Here is a 26,181-nt window from a genome sequence, read left to right on the forward strand (position 1 = left end):
CAAATTAATTATTATTACTTCCTTTCATGATCCTTGGCTGTGTGACTCACCTTTGCTCTGATCTTTGACTTCTAGTTCTTATCTCAGGTCCTGCCATTAAACACCTTATTTGGTCATGTTTATCTGAACTGACCCTCAGCCCTGTCTTTAGGACAGAACTTTATATTTAATTTCAGCCTCTGTGTGCTTTTCACCTTAACACTGTATTCCCCAGGGGAGAGTTGAATCAGCCCTATACAGCATTCTGGAAGGGAAAAGGGGATTAGAAAGATATATCTTTCTTGCCATTAGATTGAATCCTAACTCACTTAGCCTCTGCCCCTCACTACCTGTCTGCTGATGGAAGAAGTTTTAGAAGGAAAGAGAAACTGACTGTTAAGAATCAGATTAACTTATGACTGTGCAATCTTTGCTTAGCTAAGTTGCAATATATATTCTCTTCTCTGTTCTATTACCTCCTTTCACTTTTTCTCTCAGAATAAATTCAAATTAAGGCCATCCTAGATCAGGCTTTTCTGGGAGCAGATCTTGAACCAAGGATTGGGGTGCAGATGATTTTATTGAGGACGTGTTCTCCAGAGACACCATGAAGGGAATAGGCAGCAGAATAGAGAAGGGGAAAAACCCAGCCCAGCTTTGGTGGTTTTTTTTAGTCCAACTTAGAGTATAAGCCATACCTCAGAATTTGAGAATTTGTTCCCTACTCAGCAAAGGGGCAGGTTGTTTGTGCTCTTACGCCAATTGTTCCTTTAGGAGATCCTTGGGAAGAGAAGGGCCCAGAAGCAGTAGTGTTAACCTCTGGGCACTTCCCATTTTCCTCCATACCAAAGGCCAGTCTTCAGAGGCAAAGCAGGCAGATGTTGGGGGAGGGCCACACAGAACTTGTAAAAGGGACCTTAAAAGATCTGGAAAGGCACCATGAGTGTTCAGTGCTTGTTTCTCTAGTCTGAAAAGTGGAAGCCATTTTCTAAAACCATGAAAGAATAATTTTTGCTAGGGCTCTGTTTCCAATCCAAAAGAATCATGTTTTCCAATCGCTGATGTCAGGATTAGACAAAAGGTTTGTTGCCTAGACCCTGATCAATTCATACTTAATACTACTGAATCCTTATTATGGTTTAGGTACAATTTTAAGGCTACAATATATATTATCTCTTTTAATCCCATTTAATTTACTCATCAGTCCAGTATGATACGCATTAGTATGTGGTTGAGCTGGGAAGTCTGACTTCAGGGCCTGTGTTTCCCTACAAAAAAAAAAAAAAAGCATGGATTCTGCAAAATTAGAAAGGAGAAAATCATGGCTTTCAGGCCCAATTTCTGCAAACAATTCTAAAAAAATAATTTAAAAAATCCTGAACTCAGTGGAATAAGAACCCTAAGCCTGTCATTAAGCTGGATTCTAAGATGTGTCAGACATGACTACATGCACAGGGTTTATGAATTGGAGCTATCATAATCAGAATGTCATCTCCAGTGCTCCGGGATGCTTTTCCCTCCTAAGGGAAGATCTTGTTTTCTGACTAGGCTTCAGTACTGAGATAGCGATCTTCAGAGGTCCCAAGCCTTATAAAGGTTATGGTGCATCTTCAATGTCAGATTTGAAATAAAAACAATACCAAACTACAAATCAACATAATGAGGCCTAACAATTCTTAGAATGTACTCAAAATGATTACTTCTTTCCTCATTTAAAATATATCAAAATCTTTCAGAAATTTATTTTTTCTCCTGTTTTGGCGGGGCAGGGAGAGGTCTTCCGGATTTCTGGTGTCTTGTGTACTAGCAGAGTCTTGACTGTTGAATAATCATCTCCACCACCTTCCCTTCTCTTGTCCTCACCCTCACCCTTCAGTATACTGTAGTCCTTCCTAATCCACCATTCCACAGTCTCAGTTGATTGCAGTCAGCTGCATCCTGAAAATAGGTGAGCGCAGTATATTATGAGAGAGAGAGAGAGAGGGACTACAAGCACACAACTTTCATTACAGTATATTGTTATTGGTATAATTATTCCATTTTATTATGTTTTTGTTTTTAATCTCTTCTGTGCATAATTTATAAATTAAACTTTATCGTATGTATATATAGGAAAATATATAGTATGTATAGAGTTCGGTACCATTCGAGGTTTCAAGCATCCACTGAGGGACTTGGAAAGTATCCCCCATGGCTAAGTGGGAACTACCATAAACACACTCTCTCTCTGTCTCGCGTGTGTGTGTGCACACACACACACACTCACCCAATGTCACCTCAAAAGTTAGTCACCTTTTTCACCATGTAGTTCATAGCATTTATTAATCTCACATATCACACATAAAAATAATGTTTTCTCTTAGGAATAAGGGAATTTATTTTCTAGAAATGAGATTTAAAAGCACATAGGGTTTTCTTTCACCCAGTTGCCTTTCTTTACAAATAGGAAGAGGCATGCTTTTTTTCCCCTTTCTGTGCGATTGTTCTGTCTGTTGTATGATGCTTTTTGGTATTGCTACAATTTCTACTGCAAACTGAATTTTCCTCCTGTTGCTGCTGGTTTATATTGTTCTCCCCTGCAGAATTCCTTACCTGGTTTACTTCCATCAGCAGCAGTTTGTGAGTCTCAGATGATTTGCTGTTTGTATTAAACTGTGAGTTTATATCAAAGAAGCTGTGAATTCATTACGAGAAGGCTGTGATTCTTTCCTGAAATTTGGTCTTAGTTACCTGGCTTGTTCTTCATTATTGGTTACTTTTCATTTAGAATTGTATGATATTAACTGTTTTCTTAAGCTACTGCCTTAAGTGCTGCTTTAGAACATAATGGAATATAATACTTTAACAAAAAATGTATGCATGTAATTATCTTTCCATTAAATTTTTTTTTCCAAAATATCTTTCAAATGTGGAGTATACATTCTCTCCAGCTTTTCATTTTAGGTATGCTTGTTTTGAAGTTAATGAATTCCTTGAGTTTTAGATAACTATTGACAAAACTTTTATATCAGTTCTCTTTATTAACTTATCAAGTTAATTCTGAATCAATGCTGTCTAGTAATACTAGAATGTAAAATGAAGTTGCATTGTATTTTCTCTGAGAATTCTCTTCTAGAACTGACTTTCCAACATCAGGAGCAAATCTATTAAAGTCACACTATCTTTGTCTTTCTAAGCCTTAGTTTCCCCCAAGTGCTCAGTGAGAAATAATATAAAAGGCTCCCTTGTGCTGTGTAGACTAATGACAAAAAATTATTGGATTAATGTTTGGAAAGTGTTTCAGAATTCTCTCAAGAAAGCTATTATGTAAGTAGCAAGTACTGTTATTATTTTGCTATTTCAGCTTCCTTATTTTTCATCTCTCAAAGTCATTTGGGTCATTTACTACGGAATTTTCTGATTCCTTGACAATTTCTAATGGCTCTTTGGAGAGGCTTTTGAGGGCTTTTTAGTCCCCCTGTTGATGATCTTTCTGCTTATGGAGTTCATGCTTTTTTCACAACACATTAATATTCAGGTTTGAAAAAATAGTTGTAGCTATCTTGTACCTAGATGAAATTGCTTATGTTTTGGAGGAGAAATTTATGATCTTGCTTTTCAAATAGGATTTTTTATTTTTTGTAGACTTCCTTTGTGGGGTGGTGAAAATGGAGCTAGGAATGCCAGTTATGAATGATACCCTTTGGAGAAAATGTAATTGAGCATGGTCCTTAAGTCATCCTATGAAAGCATCCAAATTCTTTATACCTGTAGTTAGGCTATCTTTTTGCTCTCCAGATTAGAGTGAAAAGTTAGCAATGCTACTTTTTGATTACAGAGCATTTGCTATATTCCCATACATCTATTGTCAAAATTTGTATTTCTCACAATCCCCAAAATTGCGGAATAGAAAGTGACAACATATTTTCTTACTTCCTGCTTATTTCTTCTAAGCTCCTGTGAATAGGAGGTGGGACGACAGGCTAGTTTTTTTTTTCCATAATATTATATCATCATGAAAATTCTAGAGTGGGAGAGAATGATAAAACTAGTCATTAGGAGTATATTGCTAGTTAGTGGCAAAATTCTATCTGTACAATGATTTAGGGTTTCATTTAGGATTTATTTTCATATGGAACTCTACTAAATATGGTGCCAAGTAAGTCTGACAGTTTAACATTTTACCTTCAGAAGTGAGGAATATAGAATGGGAATATACTCAAGCTCAAGCTTTCTCATCTTGGTAGTTTCCCTAAAAAGTTTTTTTTTATCTGACTGGACAATATTAAGTGCTTTAGTTTTTAAAAAAGCGAGAAGTACTAAGTCTTTATTCTGATAATTAGCAATTGCAAGGAAATAATTACACATTATTCTACATTTACTCTTCTGTATTTTACTAAGTATATTTTAAGGTAGACAAATAGCTCCAGTTGATGAGCACTAATGGAGTGTTCTTGCCACAAAATAAGTTGATTCTGTATTTAATCAAGCCATCAGAGCTAACTTCCATTTACAGGAAAAATAGAAAATAAAAATATAAACTTAAATAATATTACAAAAAGTATAGGTAAATCCAAAAATGAGCCATTCTCCACAATAAATACACCAATTTTTGCTGTAAAGCAATGATGTGGGGAAAACAGGTATCAGGAACAAGGGCCTGCTTTATTTTAAACAACTAAATATAATAGGTAGATCTTGTTTGAATTCTGATTCAAGTAAACCAACAGTAAAAAGGACATTTTCACAATACATCCAGGGAAATTTGATTATGGAGTGTACCTTGGGAGATGACAGTGAGTTATTATTAATGTTTTAGGTGTAATAATGACATCCTAATTGCCTAGGAAAAATGCCATATTCTTAAAAAAGGTATACACTGAAATATGTAAGAGTGAAATGAAAGGAGGTCTGAGATTTAAAATAGATCATCAAAAGTAAAAAATAGCCAAATCAAATGGAACAAAATCTTGATGGTTGTATGGAGAATCATTACACTTTCTTCTTTTCTATATTCAGGATAAAATAATTTTTAAGTGAGGAAAAGAGCGTGTGCTTGAGAAGGCATTTCAGATTTCCGATTTTTTAATTTGTATAACAACAGTGCTGTTGAATTCTTATCCACTGTCATTACTAATTATTTTCATGAAAAACTGATGAGTTGGATTATCTTCTTTTTCACTTGGGAACATCTGATATGCATGATAGGTCTCTAATTATCTATCTATCTATCTATTATTTACCTATCTTATCTATCTGTCTATCTATCATCTATCTATCTTAACAGTTACATTAACACTTTTAATAAATTTAAAGCAGCATGCACTTAGTAGACGAAATAAGAAACTGACAAACACTCCTTTTCTTCACACTCTCACAGGTTTGTTCTTCTGTCTCTTCTCTCATAGCTTTGAGTCTTCATCGTTTATTCTGGGAGAGGCCAGGCATTCTCATCCTTGTGTACTTTGGTACATATTAGTCCCTTTGACAAAAATGCAATCTCATTTCTCAATAATGAAGGACATTTGTAATCATATTTAAAGCCTCAGTGCAAATACTCGATCATCTGTGAAACTCAACTTGATTCCTTCAGTCTATTTTCTCAGTCTCCAGTGCTCCTTAGAACAGTTGCCTTTTCTGTTTTTCTGTATGTTCATCTCCCTGCTGAATGATGAGATGACCGAGGACAGGGCAGGTGCGCCATCTCTTCATATTTGTATCTTCACTTAGCACAGAGCCTCAAATATATTAGAAACTCTGTAGATATTTATTGAATGAGTGTGTTAAGGGGAGTCTGTTAGTCTAATTGCATGTGGGAAGTCTTAACACTGAGATGGCTTATTGAAAGAAATACTTCCTAGTTTCTCTCCTCTCAGTCCCCCGGGACTGTGCTTTTGGCATCTTAGGCAGAAGCACTAGAATTTGGCTAATTCAGATGTCTGGGGACTGGTTTTGCAGGCTTTAAAATTCATGCCTCTTTTTCTCTTAAAACTCAACAACTTTGCCTTGAAGTAGAACATATTTCCATTTTTTCTATTCCATTGCAGCCACCTTTTTTTCTTTCTTCCAGTTTTACAACTTCCCCAGAGCATTACTTCCTTCCCTGTGGTCTTCCCAAAATTCATTTTCTGTTTACTGTTTATTGTAGGACTATATTAGTATGGAACAGATTGTGAACTTCATATTATGTCTCTTGTCATCCCTGTTATGTACACATCAAAGACAACCTTCCCTGAAGCTGTGTTTGGCATCTTGGGACTCTCTCTTTGCAGAGTCAAAGATCTGAGACCAATACCTATTCACAGACTATTTCCATTGCTGCTGAACTCCTACAGGGAAAACAGTGGAGAAGTCTTGAAACCTATGGGCGAGTTCTTAAAGCTATCAGTTTCTTGACCTTTCTGCCTTATTCTTATTTCCCCCAAATGTGCTGTGTCTTTTTGAAATGCAAGCAGAAGGCTCGATCTCCCTTGGGCAGAAGCAGCACCTTTTGTGACTTTTCTCTCTACTTAGATTAGTATAAGTCCTCTGTTAACTTGAGAAGCTCAATTCCAATCATATGGGCTAACTGAAAACTCAGAAAATCTAAACTTTGAGAACTCTGATAATGACTCCTTGCCTCAATTGATATTTCAATGAATTCCACAACTTTGAGGTGTTTCTTTCCTTCATAGAGCAAGAAGAGCAGCATAAAGGTTACTCAAGGAAAGATTCAGAACCGTAGATTTGAGTAAAAAGCCGTAAAAATTACCTAAGAAACTACCAGAAAGTGGCTCTTACCTTCTCAAGATCCTCTTAAATCAACCTTTGGTTGTGTTCTATTACAAACTAAGAGAGGTGTTTTCAGGATTAGGTAGAAAAGATGAAAAGATGTGCAAAGAAAATAAAAGCAGGCTCTAGACAACATGAGGATAAGTGAAGGTTGTTAGACAGTAAAATAATTATATTCAATGTCCTCTAGAGTAGGGAAGCCAAATGGGGCAGATTAGGTACTTATAACTCAGTGTTTGAAATCATTGCCTACTCCCTTTCAAAGTAAAACATGGATCTCTGAAGATGACCATGGAAACACTTACAACAACAAATGTTATTTTCTTAAAGCAATTTAGTCTTATAACTCACAAGGAGAGAGAAGTAATGTCAAGAACAAAAAGCAACAGGCATGGCATAAAGACAAAAAAAGAGTAGATATGGAAACTGTACTCCCAGAACTCTTCTGGTGATTAACAAGGGGCCTTTGTTGCATCATCTAGCCATTTCTGAAGCTACTCTGACATATTTTCTACTTTGAAAATAGAGAAAGTAAAATTATAATTAGTTTGACATCTCATCATGCGTGAATTATGAAGCTCATTTTTGCTTGAGAGAAAGGAAAAATATCTCGAGCAACTCACACTAAGTTGCCCTTGAGACAGCGTAGTCAGGAAAGACAGAATAGATGCCGCCCAAGATATTGCCCACTGGGTTTCTTCTTAATACACATGCCAAGACCAATCCACCAAGGAATGTCTCCATGTTTATCATTATGGTGATATACACGAGGACTTTCTACAATTGCTTTTTCCCTGCAGTAATCTGACTATTGGAGATCTCACCAGTTTCTTTGTCAATGATGTGGGAGATGTTTACTTCTAATGAGACAAGGGACAACAGAGTGGAACAGAGTGTGAAACAAGGTAAAATAAAGAAAGGAAACTTAAATTATGGAGAGATGTGTGAGAAAGACCATGGAGGCACCTGGGAATTGTGGATTGGTTTTATGACAAGAGGAGTCACTGTGACTCTTGAAGTAGGTAATTCCCAAGAGGAAGTATAGGGTAGCAGTTACGATAGTACCAGAGTAAAAATTTTTGTGGTTTCACTTACTAGTTTTGTGATGTTGGGCACACTATTTAACCTTTGATGCATCAGTTTCCTTATGTATGAAGCAGAAATAATAACAGTACCTTTCTCATAAAGTAGTTATGAGAATTAAGTGAGTTACTGTCTGAACAACACTTAGAATAGTGCTTGACAGATCTCAAGTATAATATATGGGTTTGTTAATCAAGTAAATTTCCAAAATATTATGGAAAGGTGGTCTCATCATGGATATGTAGGGAAAGTAATAAACATTCATTCATAGCAAAATTTTATTTCATCCTTTAAATTCATATTTTCTATTTGTGGTAAAATGTGTTCTTTGAATAACTTGTTAATATTTGTATATACTGTATAAATTGTAGGAGGTGTCTGCAATTACTTTTTGTTTTGAATCACAAAAATTTGAAAGCTACTCTTTCAGATTAAGAATCTACTTATAAAACTTAAGCAGATATTATATAGGAATATTTTATGAGAGTATTGCCATTGTTTCAATAAGATCAATATTCTGCAGATATTCATTTAACTTGTTGTGTCCCTTTTTAGGAGTGTAGAGAATCTGAACTTCACAGAGTCTCTGTAAAGGGGAAACCTGGTGTACAATGTGATTACCGTAATTATCTGGTTGGATAACAAAAAGGTTGATTACCTGACCAGGAACAAATCAGATTCTCTTTGATGAGAAGTGGAACTGTGAGATAGAAACTTTTGTCAGTCATTGATTAGATCCTTAGCTAAGACTAATATAACATTGGAACCAGTGTCAATATCACAGCTATCATGTACAAGTGAAAGTTGGAGAGGAGCAAATATTAGCTGTTATATATTAGATATTTTTTTCATTATTTCAACCCTCTTTCCTGATCTTCCTAAGTTATTTTCATGGATGTATATTCCTTGCAACCTAGTATTTCCAGATTAGAATATTTTCTATGGTTTGGATGTGGTAATGCAAATAAAAGGATTAATACAAATGGCTAACATTAGAGTGGCTTAACGAAAGAACAATTATACCACTGAGGTAGTGGGAAAACTGTAGAAGACAAATTGTTATGGTTTGTGCTTATATAAGTGAGAATTTTACATTGTAGCAGCTCATATTACTTATCACTTTTTATTGAAATTAGATATCTCCAAGTCTTTTCTTGAAACGTAATAAATGGAATATAATCTTTTAAATTTGTATACAATATCAGGATACTCATAAAATCCTATAAACATTTTTTAAAAACCTTTTTTTATTCAGGAGAAATTTCAAAATTCACACATATTCTAATACAAATAGAGAAGACTTATGGTGCTTCAGAAAAAATTCCACAAAATTGGGCAGATGTTCACATATATTTGTGTGCATTTTTAAATGAATGCACCTTGTTGTACTCCATCTGTTTGGTACTTTAAACTCTTTCTGGAAATGGCATCTCAAAGATTTGAGAAGCCTTACATGCACATATATGCAATAATAAGACTTCAGGGCTGCTTCATAGTGAAATAAAAAATAAAAGCACAGTTGCCTAGGCAGTACTGCTTAAAACGTTTCTTTTATTAAGATTAAAACATTTCATAGAATAACATTATAATATATTTAGGATCATTTTTCTTGTTTACTTGTATTTTTCTGTCTTTCTGAATGTCTTTGGTTATAAAAATGTCCTATTATATTTTAAATACTGCAAGCATCAGAGAAGGAAAAGGCAGTGATTTGTGCTTGTTACTGCACAAAGTGCAGTAAGGTTAATGAACTTCTACTACTAACAGGATTAAATGTTCAATTTAAATCCAGGCCAGGTGAAGTACATGATTATTCTTTTTTAAATCTACTATAATCGTACCTAAGCATTTCAATCTTAGTCTTTTTTCTGCCTGAACAAAATATGCTAGATAAAAATGGAGGTCTTATTTAAACTATAATCATTTAGTTTCCATCTAGTAAATTTCATTAATTACTTATAGAGAGGGAACAGGTTTAGGATTTTGTGCATTTTAAAGAAGAGCAAATAGCTTTGTGCAGCTGTTTGATGGAGGCTACAGGATCACTAAACATAATATGATTTTCAGTTCTGAAACTGAGATAAGGAGTAAAGGATTTGACTTTAGTGGTATGTAGTATACTAGAGCTTAAACCAGAGGACTAAGAATTTGTAAAGTAACACTGCTTCATGAAAATTATACTTTAATAAATCATGTAACACAAAATGCTGAATTTGTAGGAAATTCTTTATATTAAACCATAATAATTTACCCACTTAAAAGATGGGCATATATTGGGTTAGCATTTTAAATGGGTTTCTAAGTTAGGATGTCTCAGTTAAATTTCTCTAGATTAGAATAAGATTGACAGCCTTATTTTGAGTAGTAAAAACTGCCGGTTTTGTGTTTCCTGGGGAAAAAATCTTCCATATTGAATTTCCTCCATAGAAAGCGTGGACATCTGGAGAGGGAAGGATGCTCCCTGGGGAAAAATTCACAGATCATTCTTCATAATTCTATTTTAAATAGAACAGATATAAACCAACACACTCCTTCATTGATTTATTCACTCATTTAATACATTTTTTTTTTGTTGTTTCCTATGTCTCAGATGTTTTGAAAATCTTGCCATATAGCTGTCAGTAAAACCAACTACTTGTCCTCCTGGAGCTTCCATTCTCATAAAAAGCAACAGAGAATAAACTTGGAAACTCAGAATAGTTATAAATAGAGCCCCTTTCAGTCTCAAAGTGGTTCAATGAGAGTGAAACATTACTAGGTCCCCCTTTATATATATATATATCAGCCGATGACAAGTATTGTCAAAAACAATAAACAGGGTAAAGGACAAAGGAGTTTGGAGGAGGGAATGCCACTACTATTTATAATATAGAATGTCAGGGAAGGCCTTTTAGTTAGAAAGGAGCAAGGAAGGCCAGTAGATAATGCAGGGAAGAGTGTTCCAGGCAAGTGCAAAAGCTCCAAGGCAGACTTTTGCTTGGACCATTCAAGGACCAGCAAAGAGACTAGTGTGGGTCCAGTAGAGTGGTGAGGGGCAGAACAGCAGGAGAGAAGTCAGTGAGTTTTTTTTTAAATTAATTAATTAGTTAATATTGAGACAGAGTCTCTCTCTGTCGCCAGGCTGGAGTGCTGTGGCCCGATCTCAGCTCACTGCATTCTCCGACTCTCTGGTTCAAGCAATTCTCCTGCCTCAGCCTCTCGAGTAGCTGGGATTACAGGCATGCACCACCACACCCGGCTAATTTTTGTATTTTTAGTAGAGATGGGGTTTCACCATGTTAGCCAAGAAGGTCTCAATCTCCTGACCTCGTGATCCGCCTGCCTCGGACTTCCAAAGTGCTGGGATTACAGGCGTGAGCCACCGCGCCTGGTCTCAGTGGGTTCTTGAAGGACTTGGGCTGTTACTCTGAGTAAATGGGATTCATTACATAGTTTAGAGCAGAGAAGTGACATGCTTTGACTCATGTTTTAAAAGAATCATTTGAGCTTCTGTGTTGATTACATGCTAGGAAGCAAATAAGGAAAATAGCTACAGAGCAAGTTGTATAGTCCAGGCAGCAGGGATGGGCTCTTGAAAGAGGTTGATAGTGCTATTAGAAGTGGTTAGATTTTGAATATACAGGCATATCCTATATAAAATCTCTCTAATAAATAAGAACGCCTCTTGATTGTCGAATTACCCACATTTCATATTACTCATACACAACTTTCTCAATACATTTTTAAGACTATACTAATATAGGAAAAAAATTAATATTTATGTCCTAAACACACAAACATTTAAAAATATAATATGCAGGAGAAAACTTGAAACTGAAAAATAGTTGCTAGAGCACCAGAATTATGTGTAGATATTAGAATAACAACAAATTGGCAAAAAAAAGGATGTGCATTTTGGATTTTGCATATGCTATGAGGCCTAACGGTGTCATATTTAGCAGGAATGATGAGCATTATCTTTAAACATGAGGATGATAAGATGGGAAGCTTAACATTTTAAAGTAGCCAATCCCTTATAGCTTTGTTCAAAAAATAATGGAAATGTAAATAAAAATCGATTTTGCATTTTTTATCTAAACATATCAAATCTGTTTTTCAAGTTTTGACTTTTCAAATGTCTCTACAAATACCCAAATGACAGAGAATCTCTACCAGTTCCTCTGAGTTTGATAATTTGCCTGAAATTGGCCATTCATTACCCAAATTGTCAGTACCACCACCTTCTAAAGTAAGTGACAAAGATAACTTTAATCTTTTACCCTTTTTCCTTCTCAACATTTGCCAAGCCTCAAGTGTCCAACTCACTTGGTAAGTATGTATTAGAGAATTGTCTAATTTTTATTGTACATTTTTCCCTGCATATTTTGGATAAATATTATTTACCATGAAAGATTTCAAAATCTAACAACTTTTGCTGTATTTTAGGTATGCTTTAGTCCTTTAGAAATTTAGTTGGGGACTTTTGTTTTGATGTAGCTCATTGTATTTTTCTCACTTGAAATAATGTGAAATAGGCTGCTGATTCGTGTTTTGGTGCAGAACATTCGATGCGCAGGAATTCTTAATGATGTTAAATAGAAGTTACCTATTCTTAAAAGGTAAGATCAACAGGGAAGGGATGGGTCAGGAATGATTCCATAGTTTTTAGTCTGGGAAAATCGGAAGGATAGTTACATTTACTGAAATTGGTATGACAGCAGGAGGAGCAGGTCTTGGAGAAAAAGCACGAATTCTGTCTTGGACATGTTGAGTGTGAGATTCCTATTAGATATCCTAGTTGAAATATGAATAGGAGGTTGAATAGATGAATCTGTTGTTCAGGAGAGGGAACCAGGCTAGAAATGTAATGTTGGTAGTTATCAGTATAGGTTATCTGCATAGGTTTATAACCCTGAGATTTGTTTTGATCACAAAGGGAGTGGATATAGATAGAAAATAAGTTTAAAGAAAGAGCCCTGGGACTTTTCATCATTTAAGACCAAGGGTATTAAAAAGAAAAGAAAAGAGCCAGCAAGGGAGGTGAGTAGAAGTGGCCGGTGAGGTAAGAGGAGAGCCAACCAAGAGGGGCCAGAGAAGCCATAGGTAAAGTTTCCTTCCTTTTCTTTCCTTCAACAAAAGAGGTGGTAATCAACTTTATTTAATGTTCCAGATTGTTGGAGTAAGACAAGGGCTGACAACTGAGCAATGAGCTTAACAACCTGAAGGTCTTTGGTGATTTGATAAGGGCTATTTCACTGGAATGGAGGGGGCAAAAACCTGGGATCAAGGCAAAATGAGAGGGGAAGAATTGCCAACAATGAGTAGAGACAACTTTTGATGAATTCCTTTGGAAAGAGAACAAAGACATAGAATTTTAACTAGAAAAGAATACTGAGCAGAAACATTTTTGGATAGTTTGCTTTTTATGTTTTTTGTTTGTTTGTTTTTGACATGATGGATTTAGTACCATGTCTGTAATGTTGAAGAAAATAGAAAAACAAATGATTTAGGTAACAAAATATTGGCTGTAGAGATATCCTTAAGTGGTAAGGGACCAGATCTTAAGCACAAGTGTGAGTTTGTGTAGGGTGGGGTGCTGACAGTGGTGGCCTTAATGGGAACACTAAAAATTCATTTCTAGGAACAGAAGAAAAGGCAGAGCATCTGGACACAGATGTAGGTAAGTAGGTAGATGTACTAGTGGAAGTTTATGGAAAGTCTTTTCCAATTGCTTTAATCATTGTCAATGTTCAAAAGAGGAAAGTCCTTTAGTTGAGTGCTGAAAATAGTGAAATGAGTTTGAGGTTGTTTAGAAAATATGTCATCTCTAGGTCAAAAACTATTACTTATGCTAAGATCTAAGAAACGTGGTGGTGACATGAAAACAGAAGTCATTGGGAACAAGGAGGAAAAATAAGTGTGAGACAAAGGTGTTGCAAAAGACATCAAAATAGAAATGGATGTTTTTATCAAAGACTTGCCACACTAAGCAGAAAGGAGACTTTTAAACAGGGTGCCACGAGCCTTCCAAAGTGTGCTATCAAATGGTTATCAATGTCCACAATATCTGACAAGATGATAAAATGGGACTCGTTCTATCTCTATTTTATCGAAAGCCCCACAGTCTGAGAACAATACAAAGGTACCTTGTTACTCTATGTCCTAAACCAAAGAGCCAGTCCACTTAATCAGGACATGTTAAAAGATCACGAGACTAGTTCAGACAACTTTAGCAATCTCTCACCTCTAGTCTCTGTAAGTGGAAGAGTTTGGAGAAGAGTGAGAATGTTGTGGAAAGAGTTTTTGGAGTACCATAGAGTTTCACCTCCTCCTGCAAGTGACATAAGCTTAGAGAGCATTTTCTGTTTTGTTTTTGAATTAAATTTATTTATTTATTCATTCATTCTTTACAGAGGTAATCAAGTTACTGAGAGGACTTTCTAGGAGGGTTGAAATATGTCCACAGAGTTTTGGCTTGGGATTGAAGAGCAAAGAGGAGAAAGGCTGCACTGGGAGTGAGTAAGCTGCGCTTCCACCCGACTAGGACAGGGGTGCATGCGTTTCCCATAGGCCAAGTGGTCCTTGGGAGTAGGCTGACCCAAAATAGTTTTAAAGGAGACCTTGAAGGTCTTCCAGCCAAGAGCAAGATGACCTGAATAGGAAAAGCAAGTCAAAGCAAAACAAGACACCATATCCTACAATTTCTGAATTGTAGGATGTTCATGAGGGCAGGAGTGGGTGACTGAATGATTAGGGTAAAGTCAGAAAAACAGCATTGCCTTTATCTAAGGAGCTCTGTTTTTGTTTTCTAAAGAACCTACAAGAGCCTGCTTAGAAAAAAAGATATCCAGAGATTCCCCACACCCTTATACAAAGTAAGACTGTGTCCTTGCCTTCTGATCCCTTCTTACCCTGAGGCTGGCCCCAGAGGGTTTTGAAGCTCTCACTATCAGAGTAAGACAGACAATGGAAGAAAGAAGAAAATACCATATTACACTCCCCACCTCAGGCTTTCAGGCCGGAGACAAGCCCTAGCTTGGAAAATGGAAGACTTAGCCTGGATGTAAATTTCAAATTAGGGTATTATATTAAAAGGGACTGGTCATTTTAGTGCCTGAAATGACACTGCAACCAAAAAGGATCAGGAGTGTTAAGGGACCTGCCTGGAAATAAGTGATTTCCAGAAGAGGTTTGAAGAATAGTCAGGGAGGAATGAAATTGCATCATGATTCACTCATTGAGTGCTTCACTTTCAATATGTCAGTTACGCAACCTTATTAAAATTATAGATATATTGTGAAGGCTACACTGTCAGATGGAACACTGAGCATAGCAAGTCTTGCCATATGGCTTAAATCGATACTACTCAGTGACTTTCTACAAGTTAATGGTAGATGTTGTGACTTCACAAAATGTTAAGTTGGTCTCAAAGAAAAATCAAAATCAAGTATTTACTGGAACATGAGAATATTCCAGTTTTGAAAATATAAAGAAACATAGTCAAATAAGCTAACTATTCTGTTTCAATGGTAACCCAGTGATGAAGAGCAATCAAATGAAATAAACATGATAATATATATAATCTACAGTTTTCTACATTTTCAAAAAAATAACTCTATAAGATTCTTAAATAGGTCACCAGAAATTTGAGTTCCTAATTAAAACTGTGCCATGATTAGAAAATTTGAAAACCTACACAATATAGCCTACCAGCTGTGGTTGAGCTACTAACCCCCACACCTTGAGAACATGGCTTAATTTTAAGGCTCATGAATAGGTGATGATGAAACCATTGGTACGTCATAAGAGTCAGCCGATGTATTTGGGATTCCTGATCTATCCTTCATTTGAGTAGAGTGGCTATCTCTAAGTTGCATACTCTACCCTAATACAATAATGTATCATTTAATTATGGGACTACATTCTGAGGAATGCAGTATTAGGTGATTCTGTCATTGTATGAACATCACAAAGCATACCTAAGCTATATGCAAACCTGTACAGCACTTTACTGTACTGAATGAGTACTGTAGGCAGTTGTGACACAATGATAAGAATTTGTGTACCTAAACATATCTAAACATAGAAAAGGTACAGTAAAAATAAAGCATTACATTCTTATGGGACCATCATCATATATGCAGTTCACCATTGACCAAAACACCATTGTTTGGCACATGACTGAGTGTATATACATACACACACATATGTATACACGTGTGTATACATATATATAATGCAATGCTATACTATATTTAATCCTCACTTTATAATAATGTAATGAAGATTAAGCAACGTAATGTATAAAGAGTAAGATCCAATTCATTTCCTTCCTTAACTTCAGAGGCAACACCTTTTCATGTTTGCTTTCCTGGGATATCACAGAGTAGGTAATGACATGCTGACAGCTCTCACTTCAAATTCATGACCATTAACCTCAAGGGGGCAATCCTAAAAGCCATTCATACCTTTTTTCCTCCATAAATACCCAATAACTCATCCTGCTTCTTATCCATTTGTGAATGTTCCCATAATCTTGTTCATTCCTTCTTTCTTACCACTGGAAAATTTTGCTCATGAGGTCATTCCTTCCTCAAATTACTAAGCTGACGGACTTCGTTACATTTTTAGCATGCAGAGCTCCATTGTTTTTTTCCTAATGAAATCTTACATAGAACACGAAAGTAGAACTACTCTCATTCAAGCACAGGGTGTGGCTGCAGTGTGAGGTCTCAGAGCCCTGGATGCACAGCCATACCCTCCTTGTCACCCTCCATCACCCACCCCAGTGGCAGCCATATCAGTAGGTATTTATAGAAATATTTCTCGTTTCTTGTTACTCTACCCATGGCAACTCATTATTCATGGGTGGGTATATGTAAAGCATTTAGACACTTGATCAGTTTCTCTTCCTTCTGTCCCCTAAACATAGGCTTTCCTGAAGTTTCTTGTCTCAGGCCCTTTAAGATTTGTTTCACACTCCTGCTTCAATGATCTTATCATCTCATCTAATACCAACTCTCACTTATTTACACACAACTTCCTGTTATACATCTCTAGTCCCACCTCCTAGGTAATTGTTCAATCTCTCCCTTTTCCAGAGTCATTGCCACATGCTCTAACCCTGGTTTCTCTTTTTGTCCCAAAGCCAGTTCCACTTTCTTCTTTCTGTTTATGGTCACGATGTTCTTCGTTCAAGCTTAAAACTTCACAATCATCTTTGAATTCTTTATCTTCCTCATGTCAGTCAGTTGTCACAGTATATAGATTGTGCCTCTGAAGTTCAACTCACATACCTCCTCTTGTGTCCATTCCTAAAACAATCACCCTGGTTTAATTTCTTATTGCAGTTTGTTTGGTCTAATGCAATGAATACTGAATTAGTTCCACTGCCTCCAGCTTTCCCTACACAAATCCATCACACTCACTGTTGCCAGGCTGATCTTCCCAGAGCACTGATCCACCTATTTCACTACCACAATCCTTCAATGACTTCCTTTTACCAATTGGATTAAGAACACACTCTTCTGCCTAGAATTCTTGGCCTACCACAATGTGTTCCCAACCTGTTTTTTGTGCATTATCTTGTTTAATGTCCTATAAAAAGTCTACATTAAAGACAAATTAGAAAATTTGCTGTAGTCCAAACACATCCCATCTTAGAAATATGTTCCTCTGTATTTTCTCTTTCTGCATCTGTATAATTTGTAGATGCCCTTCAAAGCAGTATAATACAATGATTTAGAGCCTTGGCTTTAGAGTTAGACAGACCTGGGTTCAAGTGCTTCCATTTAAAGGCTTTATGACCTTGGGTTGGTTACTTAACCTCTTTAGAGCTAAATTCTACATTTTTTAAATGATGATGATAATATTACATACATTATAAAGTTGCTGAGAATTAAATCAGATAATATGTCTTCACACTTAAAGCTTTTAAGCAATGGTATAGCATAGGAAGTACTAGTGAGTAAATTTACTCAAACACGTAAGGTACCATCCTCAGGGATTTTGCACCTGCTGTCCTTATGCCTGTAATACTCTTCTCCCAGGTACATGCATGACTTATGCTCCTAGGTCACTATTAAAATGTCACTTCTTCAGAGGAGTCTTACCTAATGATCCTAAGAGTACTCACTGTGTCCACTCTGTTCCTTTATTTTGCTTCTCTTTCTTTAAAACAACTGACATTATATTATTTATGTATGTATTTATTTGTATATTGCCTGCTACACTAGAAGGTAAGCTCCGTCTGAGTCAGGTCTTAGTCTATTTTGTTTATTGCCACATTCCAGGCACCCAGGGCAGTGTCTGGCATATGGTGGCTATTAATGGATTTTTATTGAATGAATAAATAACCAAATTAATCTTTTAAATAAATTTTAGCTTTAATTAAAGGTAGTTCCAAATATTTTTGTTATAATAATTTTTTTGATCAGCCCACTGAGTTAGTTACCTCCTTCTGTGAAATCTGTATATACTTCCCTAATGGAATGTATATTCTGATTTAGATATTTATGTCTGATCTTAGCACAGTTTGGCAGATCAAGTATTTCTCAAGAATAGGAATATTGTAACAACAGAATTGAGTAGTTGTGACAGACTGTAAGGTATACATAAACACACACACACAGCTATATATAGTAAATTTATATTTTAATTTAAATTAAAATTTAAATATACATATATATATATCCAGTAGCCAACACAAAGTGAATTTTATATAGAAGTCACTCAATAATATAAAACTGTTATTCAATAACTAATACATAGTATGCAATTATATATCAATGAGATAGATAATAGAGAAGCAATGATAGTAAACAAATTGTAACTAGATAATGGAAATAGTCATAATTTATTGAACACCTAATGATGCTCAATGTTGACTTCAATAATAGCCTGAAAAAATGGATGTATGAAGCTCTTGGAAGTTAGGTCGCTTTTCCAGGGTCACCAAGAAGGAATAATAATCATAGCCACAATACCAGCCAGCATTTATTGAATGTGTTTTAGGCATCGGGCTGTTAACTTTACATGTATCATATAATTTAATTTAATCTTTACAACATACTTTTGAGATAGATAATATAATCCTTATTTTTTAGATAAAGAAAATGAGGTTCAGCAAGTTTAAGTAATTGGCTTGATATCACATAACTTGTGAGTAGTAAAAGAGCAGGGTATGCCTGACTCCAAACTTTAGCAGAGTAATTACATATTCTGCTCTGAAACTTTTGTACTATAGATACCTGCAACAATAGTCTCATGATGGAGGGATGAATTATTTACACTAGGAGGCTGGGATTACTTGATTTTTTTGAAGACAACTGAAATAAGTCCAAATTTGAAGTCTTTTATATTCTGGCTCCCCCATCCTTCAACCTATTTGCTCCTGCTCCCTCCCAAGCCTTTCAGGCCACCAAGGCTGTCTGAAACCTCATGGGCCTCTGAGCAGGCTCTATGTATTTCTTTTCCTTTGTTTTTGCTTCTCCACCTCTTCTCCACCCTGACCCCCCAGAATCCTCTAATCTCTCTTCTCCACTTATTTGATTTTTTTCTCTGTTCAAATGCCACCACATCCATGGTACTTGAATTCTTCTTGCTTTTATCGGCTCATGGTAAAATCTACATTCTATACAATTCTGGTAGAAGAAGCATTTGGTGCTTCTTTTCACAGCACTTGATATTGATATTTAACTTTGTTTGTGTGTCTATATATGTCTTGTTTTCTCCCCAAGGGAATTTTAAGGACCAAATTCTATCATGATTTCTGTTTCTCCATCATAATAACAACATACTGACACACAGTAGGTATTAAATTTCTACTTAATTGAGTTGAACATACTAAAAAAAGTCCCTTTAAATGATACAATTAATTTTTAATAAAGTACACATGTTTTAACAGAAAGTAATACAACTAAATTAAGTGAATGTACTTCTACTACCTGCTAGAGGCATAAATTTAATGAGATGGAAGGGTCAAAGAAAGTACAATGGAATAGGGATGCTTTGTACAAGGGTCAACTAAGTATTAAAAAATGGTCTCAGGGTCAGGATTCATCTGTTGGGGTTCATTTTTTGCTTTTTGTATAAATGAAAAGTTCAGGACTAAAATAAGTACCCAAGTTATATTACTGCTGTAGAGATCCAAATAGCAATGCACAACGCATGAAATTATTATTTAGCAGTCATCTCAGCCAGAACTGAATATCAATTAACATTAAGATCTCACTGTTCACATGGCACTGTGCTAGGCACTTAGAAGGGTTGGGAGGCACTTTCCTTAATCTCTGCATATATGAAGCTTACAGTTAAGATAAATGCATTAAAAGAGACATACATATCCATGCATGTATTAACAAGAGGTCTAAATTATAGGATACGGAGTGTGGGGGAAGAGAAATACAAAATATTTTAAAGTGTTCTCATGGCATTTTGTATTTTGATGTCACTCTGAAATGATTTGTAAAAAGGAGAGAAGGCAAGTGGGACTGGAAATGCTGAAAAGAGGAAAATAAAATGTAAATGTGTTTAGTGGGAGGGCTCATATCTTGAAACGTTTTTGTATTTCTTTGCATTGCTAGCAGATAACTGGAGTGACCGATAGGTATTTTGTAATCCTCTGCTAATTTTCCTTATAAATACACTTTAGATAAGTTTTCCTTGTAAAAATAAACCCACTCTTCACCAGAGGCTACTCATCCTATGTCATTGACTCTGCTACCTCATCAGACTTGCTTTTCTTTCACTGTTCTCTCCCATTTCCATACAGACTTAATCGTCTGCATCTTTTCTCATTTCTCCTTCTATGAACACTCAGATGACCTCACTAAATTGTTGAGGTTTCATGCTCTTCCTGACTTTTCTTGGCCTCTGAAAGCCCCACTGCATTTTCTCAACCTATAAAGAGGCACATAAAATCCAACAAAGAGTCGACAAGCCAAGATTCCCAATCTATCTTCCTGGCTGACATAGGCTGACTTCCCGAGAATGCTAGGGCCCTGCTCATGATCTACAGGATTTGGCACAAGCAGTGACGATTTCTAAACCCATGCAAAGGCAAATCAATTATGTTGGGCATTCTTCTTTGAGATCCAAAGGATTTATTTCTTCAACATAAAACACTGCTGCATTTATTTAAGCTTGAAGGCAAAAGGCTAAGCAAAAGGTACAGAATTGGTGATTGAGTCTAAATAGTTACTATTAAGAAGTGGAAAACTGAACTCTGCGGTGAAGCAAGCTTAGAGACTCCACCAGGAGGTGAAAAGCTAAAGCCCATACATTAAAGCCTGTCTTATATTTAAATGCTTGCTTTTCCTCATTCTTCATGTCAAACAAAACAGAAGAAAACTTGTTGCTTCTAGCTCAGAAATATCTATAAAATTAATCTCCTTTTCCCCCATGCTGACACTGTCTTGGTTTGCCTTGCTTAACTCCACTTAATAAATGCCCTCCCAGATTTTTCCAGCATCCACTGCTTCTTTCAAATTGGAGCAGGATGCTCCACATCCCTGCAGGAGTTCCTTCTATGGACTGAATTATGTCCTCTCTTCCCTCTAAATTCATATGTTGAAGCCCTAACCTCCAATGTGATGGCATTTGGAGATGAAACCCATGGGAGAAAATTAGGTTTAGATGAGATTTTTGAGGTGGGAACTCATGATGGGATTAGTACGCTTATAGAAGAGATATCAGAAAGTTCTGTCTCCTCTGTCTCTCTTTCTCTCTCTCTCTCTCTCTCTCTCTCTCTCTCTCTCTCTCTCTCTCCCCCCCCCTCTCTGCCATGTGAGGACACAGTGAGAAGATGGCCATCTGCCAGCCATGAAGAGAGCCCTCACAAGGACTTGAATGTGCTGACTGATCTTGGACTTCCAGAAAGGAAGGAAGGAAGGAAGGAAGGAAGAGATAGAGAAAGAAAAGACACAGGGAAAGGGGAAGGAAGGAAAGAAAGAAGAAAAAAGAAAGGGGAAAAAAAGATGGATTTTGGGCTACCAGCTCAAGTTGATGAGTGATTTTAATTGATATGGCCCTTTTTCCTCTGGGAAGGCCCCAACAATGTTGCTTTCTATATGAAAAGAGGAAAATACTTTATTACCCTAGTTGGTAACTAGGATATATATTTCCAACCAGTTGCCATCCTCAGTCCACTCACCTAGTGGTATAAGTTTAGGTAGCTGTTGACAGCGTGATTATTCACTCTTACTGTTTTCTACCCATTGAGAAAGTACATAGGAATATCCATTTTTAGGTGGATCCAGGTCCAGTGAACAATTCTTAGAGGAAAAAGATACTAATGCATAGTAATCACTCACTTGCCTTGAACTTTTTGGACTGTTTAGTCAGAACAAAATATGGATATTGTTATGATCAAAAAGAGCCCAAAGCCTATATGTTTGGAAAAGATAAAGGAAGAATCAAACAACATATTTCTTCCTCTATATTTTTACAACCACTTCTTCCCCCATTATGAATATAAAGCTGCTTATGTGATTTTTTTCTGTGTAGTTTAATAAAATGTAATAGGAAAGAAAGATATTTAAAGCTCAAACTAATTGTAGCTGTTTCTGTCCTCAAATAGAGATGCTGTAACTTGTATCAGTGTGGAGATAGAGCTCTATATCATCTTCTCCCCTTCGCAGAAACTGGTGGAGGAAGTTAGGGATGGGGGTCAGGGGCAGGGAGTGGAGGGAGACGCTTAGTAGATGACTCATTTAAGTGTACCAGAGAATCTTCAGAAAACATCCAGGGCTGAAGACAGGGGATAAAGAAAGCTGAATTTGTTGGCATAAGAAATAGGGAGACTTTTCTTTTTATTTTTGCTTGGGTATTTTTATTTTTGAAGAGCAGAAAAGAGAGAAAGAAGCCAAATAAATGGCTGCATGTGTATTGGGGGTGGGGTGGGGCTAAAGCTCAATCTGGTGGGAGTATTTTACAGAACACTTTAAGAACAGAAAATTAGGTATAAAATGACAAATTGAGCATGTAGGTCTACCATCCCCTCCACCAAGTCCCAATAAACATATATATACATACTATTGATAGCATAATAGTACTGGAAAATAAGAAAGAAAGCAGGCAGTGCTTGAGGATTTTAAGGAAATCTTGGAAGACTGGAATGAGAATTATGAAGAAAAACAAGAAGAGTGATCCACTGGCCAAAAGTAGCAGAATAAGGTAAGTCTTATTAGAAATAGCCTAGAGACGCTCCAAATTTAGAGTCAATACAGAGAGAGCCAGTGTAGGCCAGAGTGCAGTCACAGAGATTGAGCCCAGCTGGCACCATTTCCTCCCTCTCCCGGGCATTCAGAGATTGTGGTGGCTGACCATTTCTTTTCTGCAAAAAGTGAGCCAACAGGTGAAGATGATTCTGTGTCATTGTAGGAGAGGAACAAATCTAGATAGAAGTAATGCTGCACCCTCAAGTAAACACGGAGTGGAATGTGAAAGAAAAATTATTACCAGAAGAGAAATTTACTAAAATTCTGCACTGCCAGAGAGTCGCCATCCTTTCCGTCTACCTTGCACTCACATACTCCATAATATACACATAGCCTGCCATTTGCCTTTCCATTTAAGGAAGAATTCTGTTAGGGTAAAAGACCTAAAATGACTGCAGAGGAAAAATATATTAATAGGTATACTAACCAACAAATAGCCACAAACCAATAACCAAGTATTTCCAATGTGGAGCAAAACCAAAAATAGGAAGGAGAAGGCAAAGATCAAAGAATGGGACAACTGATGCCAGAGGAACACAGATAACCAAAGATAGAGAAGATGATTCTAAAAAAATTTTAATTAAGATTACTACAAAAATTTTAATTATGATTAACAAGGAGAAATGTGAGAATAGTTCGATATTCAAATGAGAATGTATTACTTGGAACAAAGAGAACTCAGAATAAGAATTATTTAATCAACTTAAAATTATAATTGTTAAAAGTTCATAGGTAGACTGAGTAATGTGAAAGATAGTATTAAAGCTAAAACAAATGATTTGGAAAATAAGGTCAAGGAACTCTCTTCCCAAAAATATAAATAATATCTGAAAATATTTAAGATGGTAGAAGGAAGATACAGCAGATTCAACCTCTATATAACATGATCTTTAATGACAGAGAAACAATGGAAAAGAGAAAATGATCAAAGAAATAGTAGAAAAAAATTATTCATTCAAAAAATATATATATACAGATTTTTGGTCCACTGTGTACTAAATAGGGTAAATTAAATTAAAAAATAATGTAGCACAGAATGAAGGAATTTCAAGACTATTGCAGTAGAAAGTGGAGATTGAACTCAAATCCACTGAAACAAAAGGTGAAAGTGAGAGCTTTAAGCACTGGAGTGAGTTGAAAAGTACTGGAAGATATTAGGGAGGAGGTTGTTAAATATGATTAGGACATTTGTGTTTGCTAATTGTTGTTTATGGAAGTTATGCAGCCACTTGCCCATAGCCACTGGGACATAGGAGTGCTTTCTCCTTTGATGATTACATTTCAAAGGGATAGCCTCAGGTCATTGAGAAAGACATTCTTGGGTTGTAAAACTGGAAAGAGGCTGGGAGAAGATTTACATGTCAAAGAGGTAGAGAAAGAATTTACAACTGCAAGTTCTCTATGTGAGTGATCTGAGAAAAGGGAAGTCAAGTGCCTAAATCAGAAAGAAACTTGTGATCTTTAATACCAGTAAGGAAGGGAGAGAGAGAAGGAAGGAAGGAAGGAAGAAAAGAAAAAGAAGGAAGAAAAGAAAAGGAAGGAAGGAAGGAGGGAAAGAAAGAAAGAAAAAAAGAAAGAAAGAAAGGAAAAGAAAAAAAGAAAAGAAAGGAAGGAAGGAAAGAAGAAGGGAAGAAAGGAAGAAAAGGAAGGAAGGAAAGAAGGAAGGGGAAGAAAGGACGGAACAAAGGAAGGAAGGAATGAAAGAAGGTAGGAAGAAAGGAAGGAGAGAAGAAAAAAGGGAAGGAAGGATAAAAAAGGGCAGGAAGGAAGGAAAAAAAGAAGGAAAAAAGGAAGGAAGAAGGAAAGACCTGTCAAAAGTCTAGTCAATCTGAGGGGAATGTTAAGACCAAGCTTGTCCAACCTGCAACCTGTGGGCCACATGCATCCCAAGACTGCTTTGAATGCAGCCCAAAACAAATTCATAAACTTTCTTAAAACATTATGAGATTTTTTGTGACTTTTTTTTCTTTAACTCATCAGCTGTTGTTAGCGTTAGTGTATTTTATGTGTGGTCCAAGACAATTCTTCCGTGTGGCTCAGGGAGCCCAAAATATTGGACACCCCTGGTTAAGACCATCTTGGTCACCACCATGCATACCAGGTGGGCACGGGTTAAAAGTTTCCTGATGGAATGCAAGCTGCCTCTCATTAAATTTCGATAAAACATCTATATTAATTTTCTATTGTTCTTGTAACACATTTCCACAAACATCTCCATTTTGGAAGGTCACCTATCTCACTGGTGGGAAAACCAAGGTGTCCACACCTTGAAGGAATCAGAAGGCTGATTCCTTCTGGAGGCTCTAGGGAAAAATCAGTCATTTGTCTTTTCCAGATTCATATACCTTCCTTGGCTTGTTCTTTCTTCTTCCATTTTCAAAGCCAGTAATATAGCATCTTCTCTCCTCTCTGAGCTCTGATTTCATTGTCACATCTCCTTTGACTTTGACCTTCTTGACTCCCTCTTTAGGAACCATTTTATCCTCTTTGTTGAGCCCATCCAGATAATCCAAGATAATCTCCTCATCTGAAGATCCTGAATTTAATTTATCTCCACAATGGCTTTTGCCATGTAATGTGGCATATCCAAAGGCTTTAAGGACTAGGATGGGGACGTCTTTAGGGGGCCATTATTCCACCTACCACTACTTCGTAGGCTGCTAACTTGTTTGCTGCTGTCAGTTCGGGACCCCTATCTTAAAACTCTTTGTCTGTTCCCACCCTATCCACAGGCCCAGGAAAGAGTCCTGGGAAATAGGATTTGCATATACATGTGTACATGAGCACAAACAACAAGGTCATTCGCACAGTCACTTTCACCTGAGCAGACAGGTCTCTTACACTGTACCACCCAGTCCATGTCTGCAGCCTTAGGGAATATGACATCCCTTAGGCTGGAGACGGCCTGGCCTGCTCTTCTCCTTCTTAGGTACTCCAGTGTATCTAATAGTTTTACCTACCCAGATGTGTTCCTGATGATGATGCTGGTTTCACTTGCAAATTCCCATATAATGCTTAGCCCTCTGGTTTGGGTATTTTAATTTTACTGGATAATGATCGTGGTGATTTTAAACATTTCCTGTTGCTTGTTAAACTGCATGCCCGATTCAGCTCCAAATAACAGCTTTTACACGCAAGTGAAAATTTAGCTCCTAGTATTTAACAACTACTA

At 36.4% G+C, this 26,181-nt stretch overlaps 1 long non-coding RNA gene across 1 annotated transcript in view, besides 1 other annotated feature; it reads left to right on the top strand.

Moving 5' to 3' along the window:
• LOC124900404 (uncharacterized) overlaps nucleotides 1-26,181 on the top strand; it is a 228,127-nt gene that overhangs the window by 126,804 nt on the left and 75,142 nt on the right. The gene's annotated exons all lie outside the window — the stretch shown is intronic.
• Nucleotides 23,924-24,567: an enhancer, noted in NCBI's record as "OCT4-NANOG-H3K27ac-H3K4me1 hESC enhancer chr1:98670662-98671305 (GRCh37/hg19 assembly coordinates)". NCBI's record gives its function as "activates a minimal SCP1, AML or CMV promoter by ChIP-STARR-seq in naive H9 embryonic stem cells {active_cell/tissue: H9 hESC(naive)}" and the evidence as "EXISTENCE:reporter gene assay evidence [ECO:0000049][PMID:30033119]".

Source organism: Homo sapiens, chromosome 1 (genome assembly GCF_000001405.40).
Source record: "Homo sapiens chromosome 1, GRCh38.p14 Primary Assembly".
In the NCBI taxonomy this organism is placed as follows: domain Eukaryota; kingdom Metazoa; phylum Chordata; class Mammalia; order Primates; family Hominidae; genus Homo; species Homo sapiens.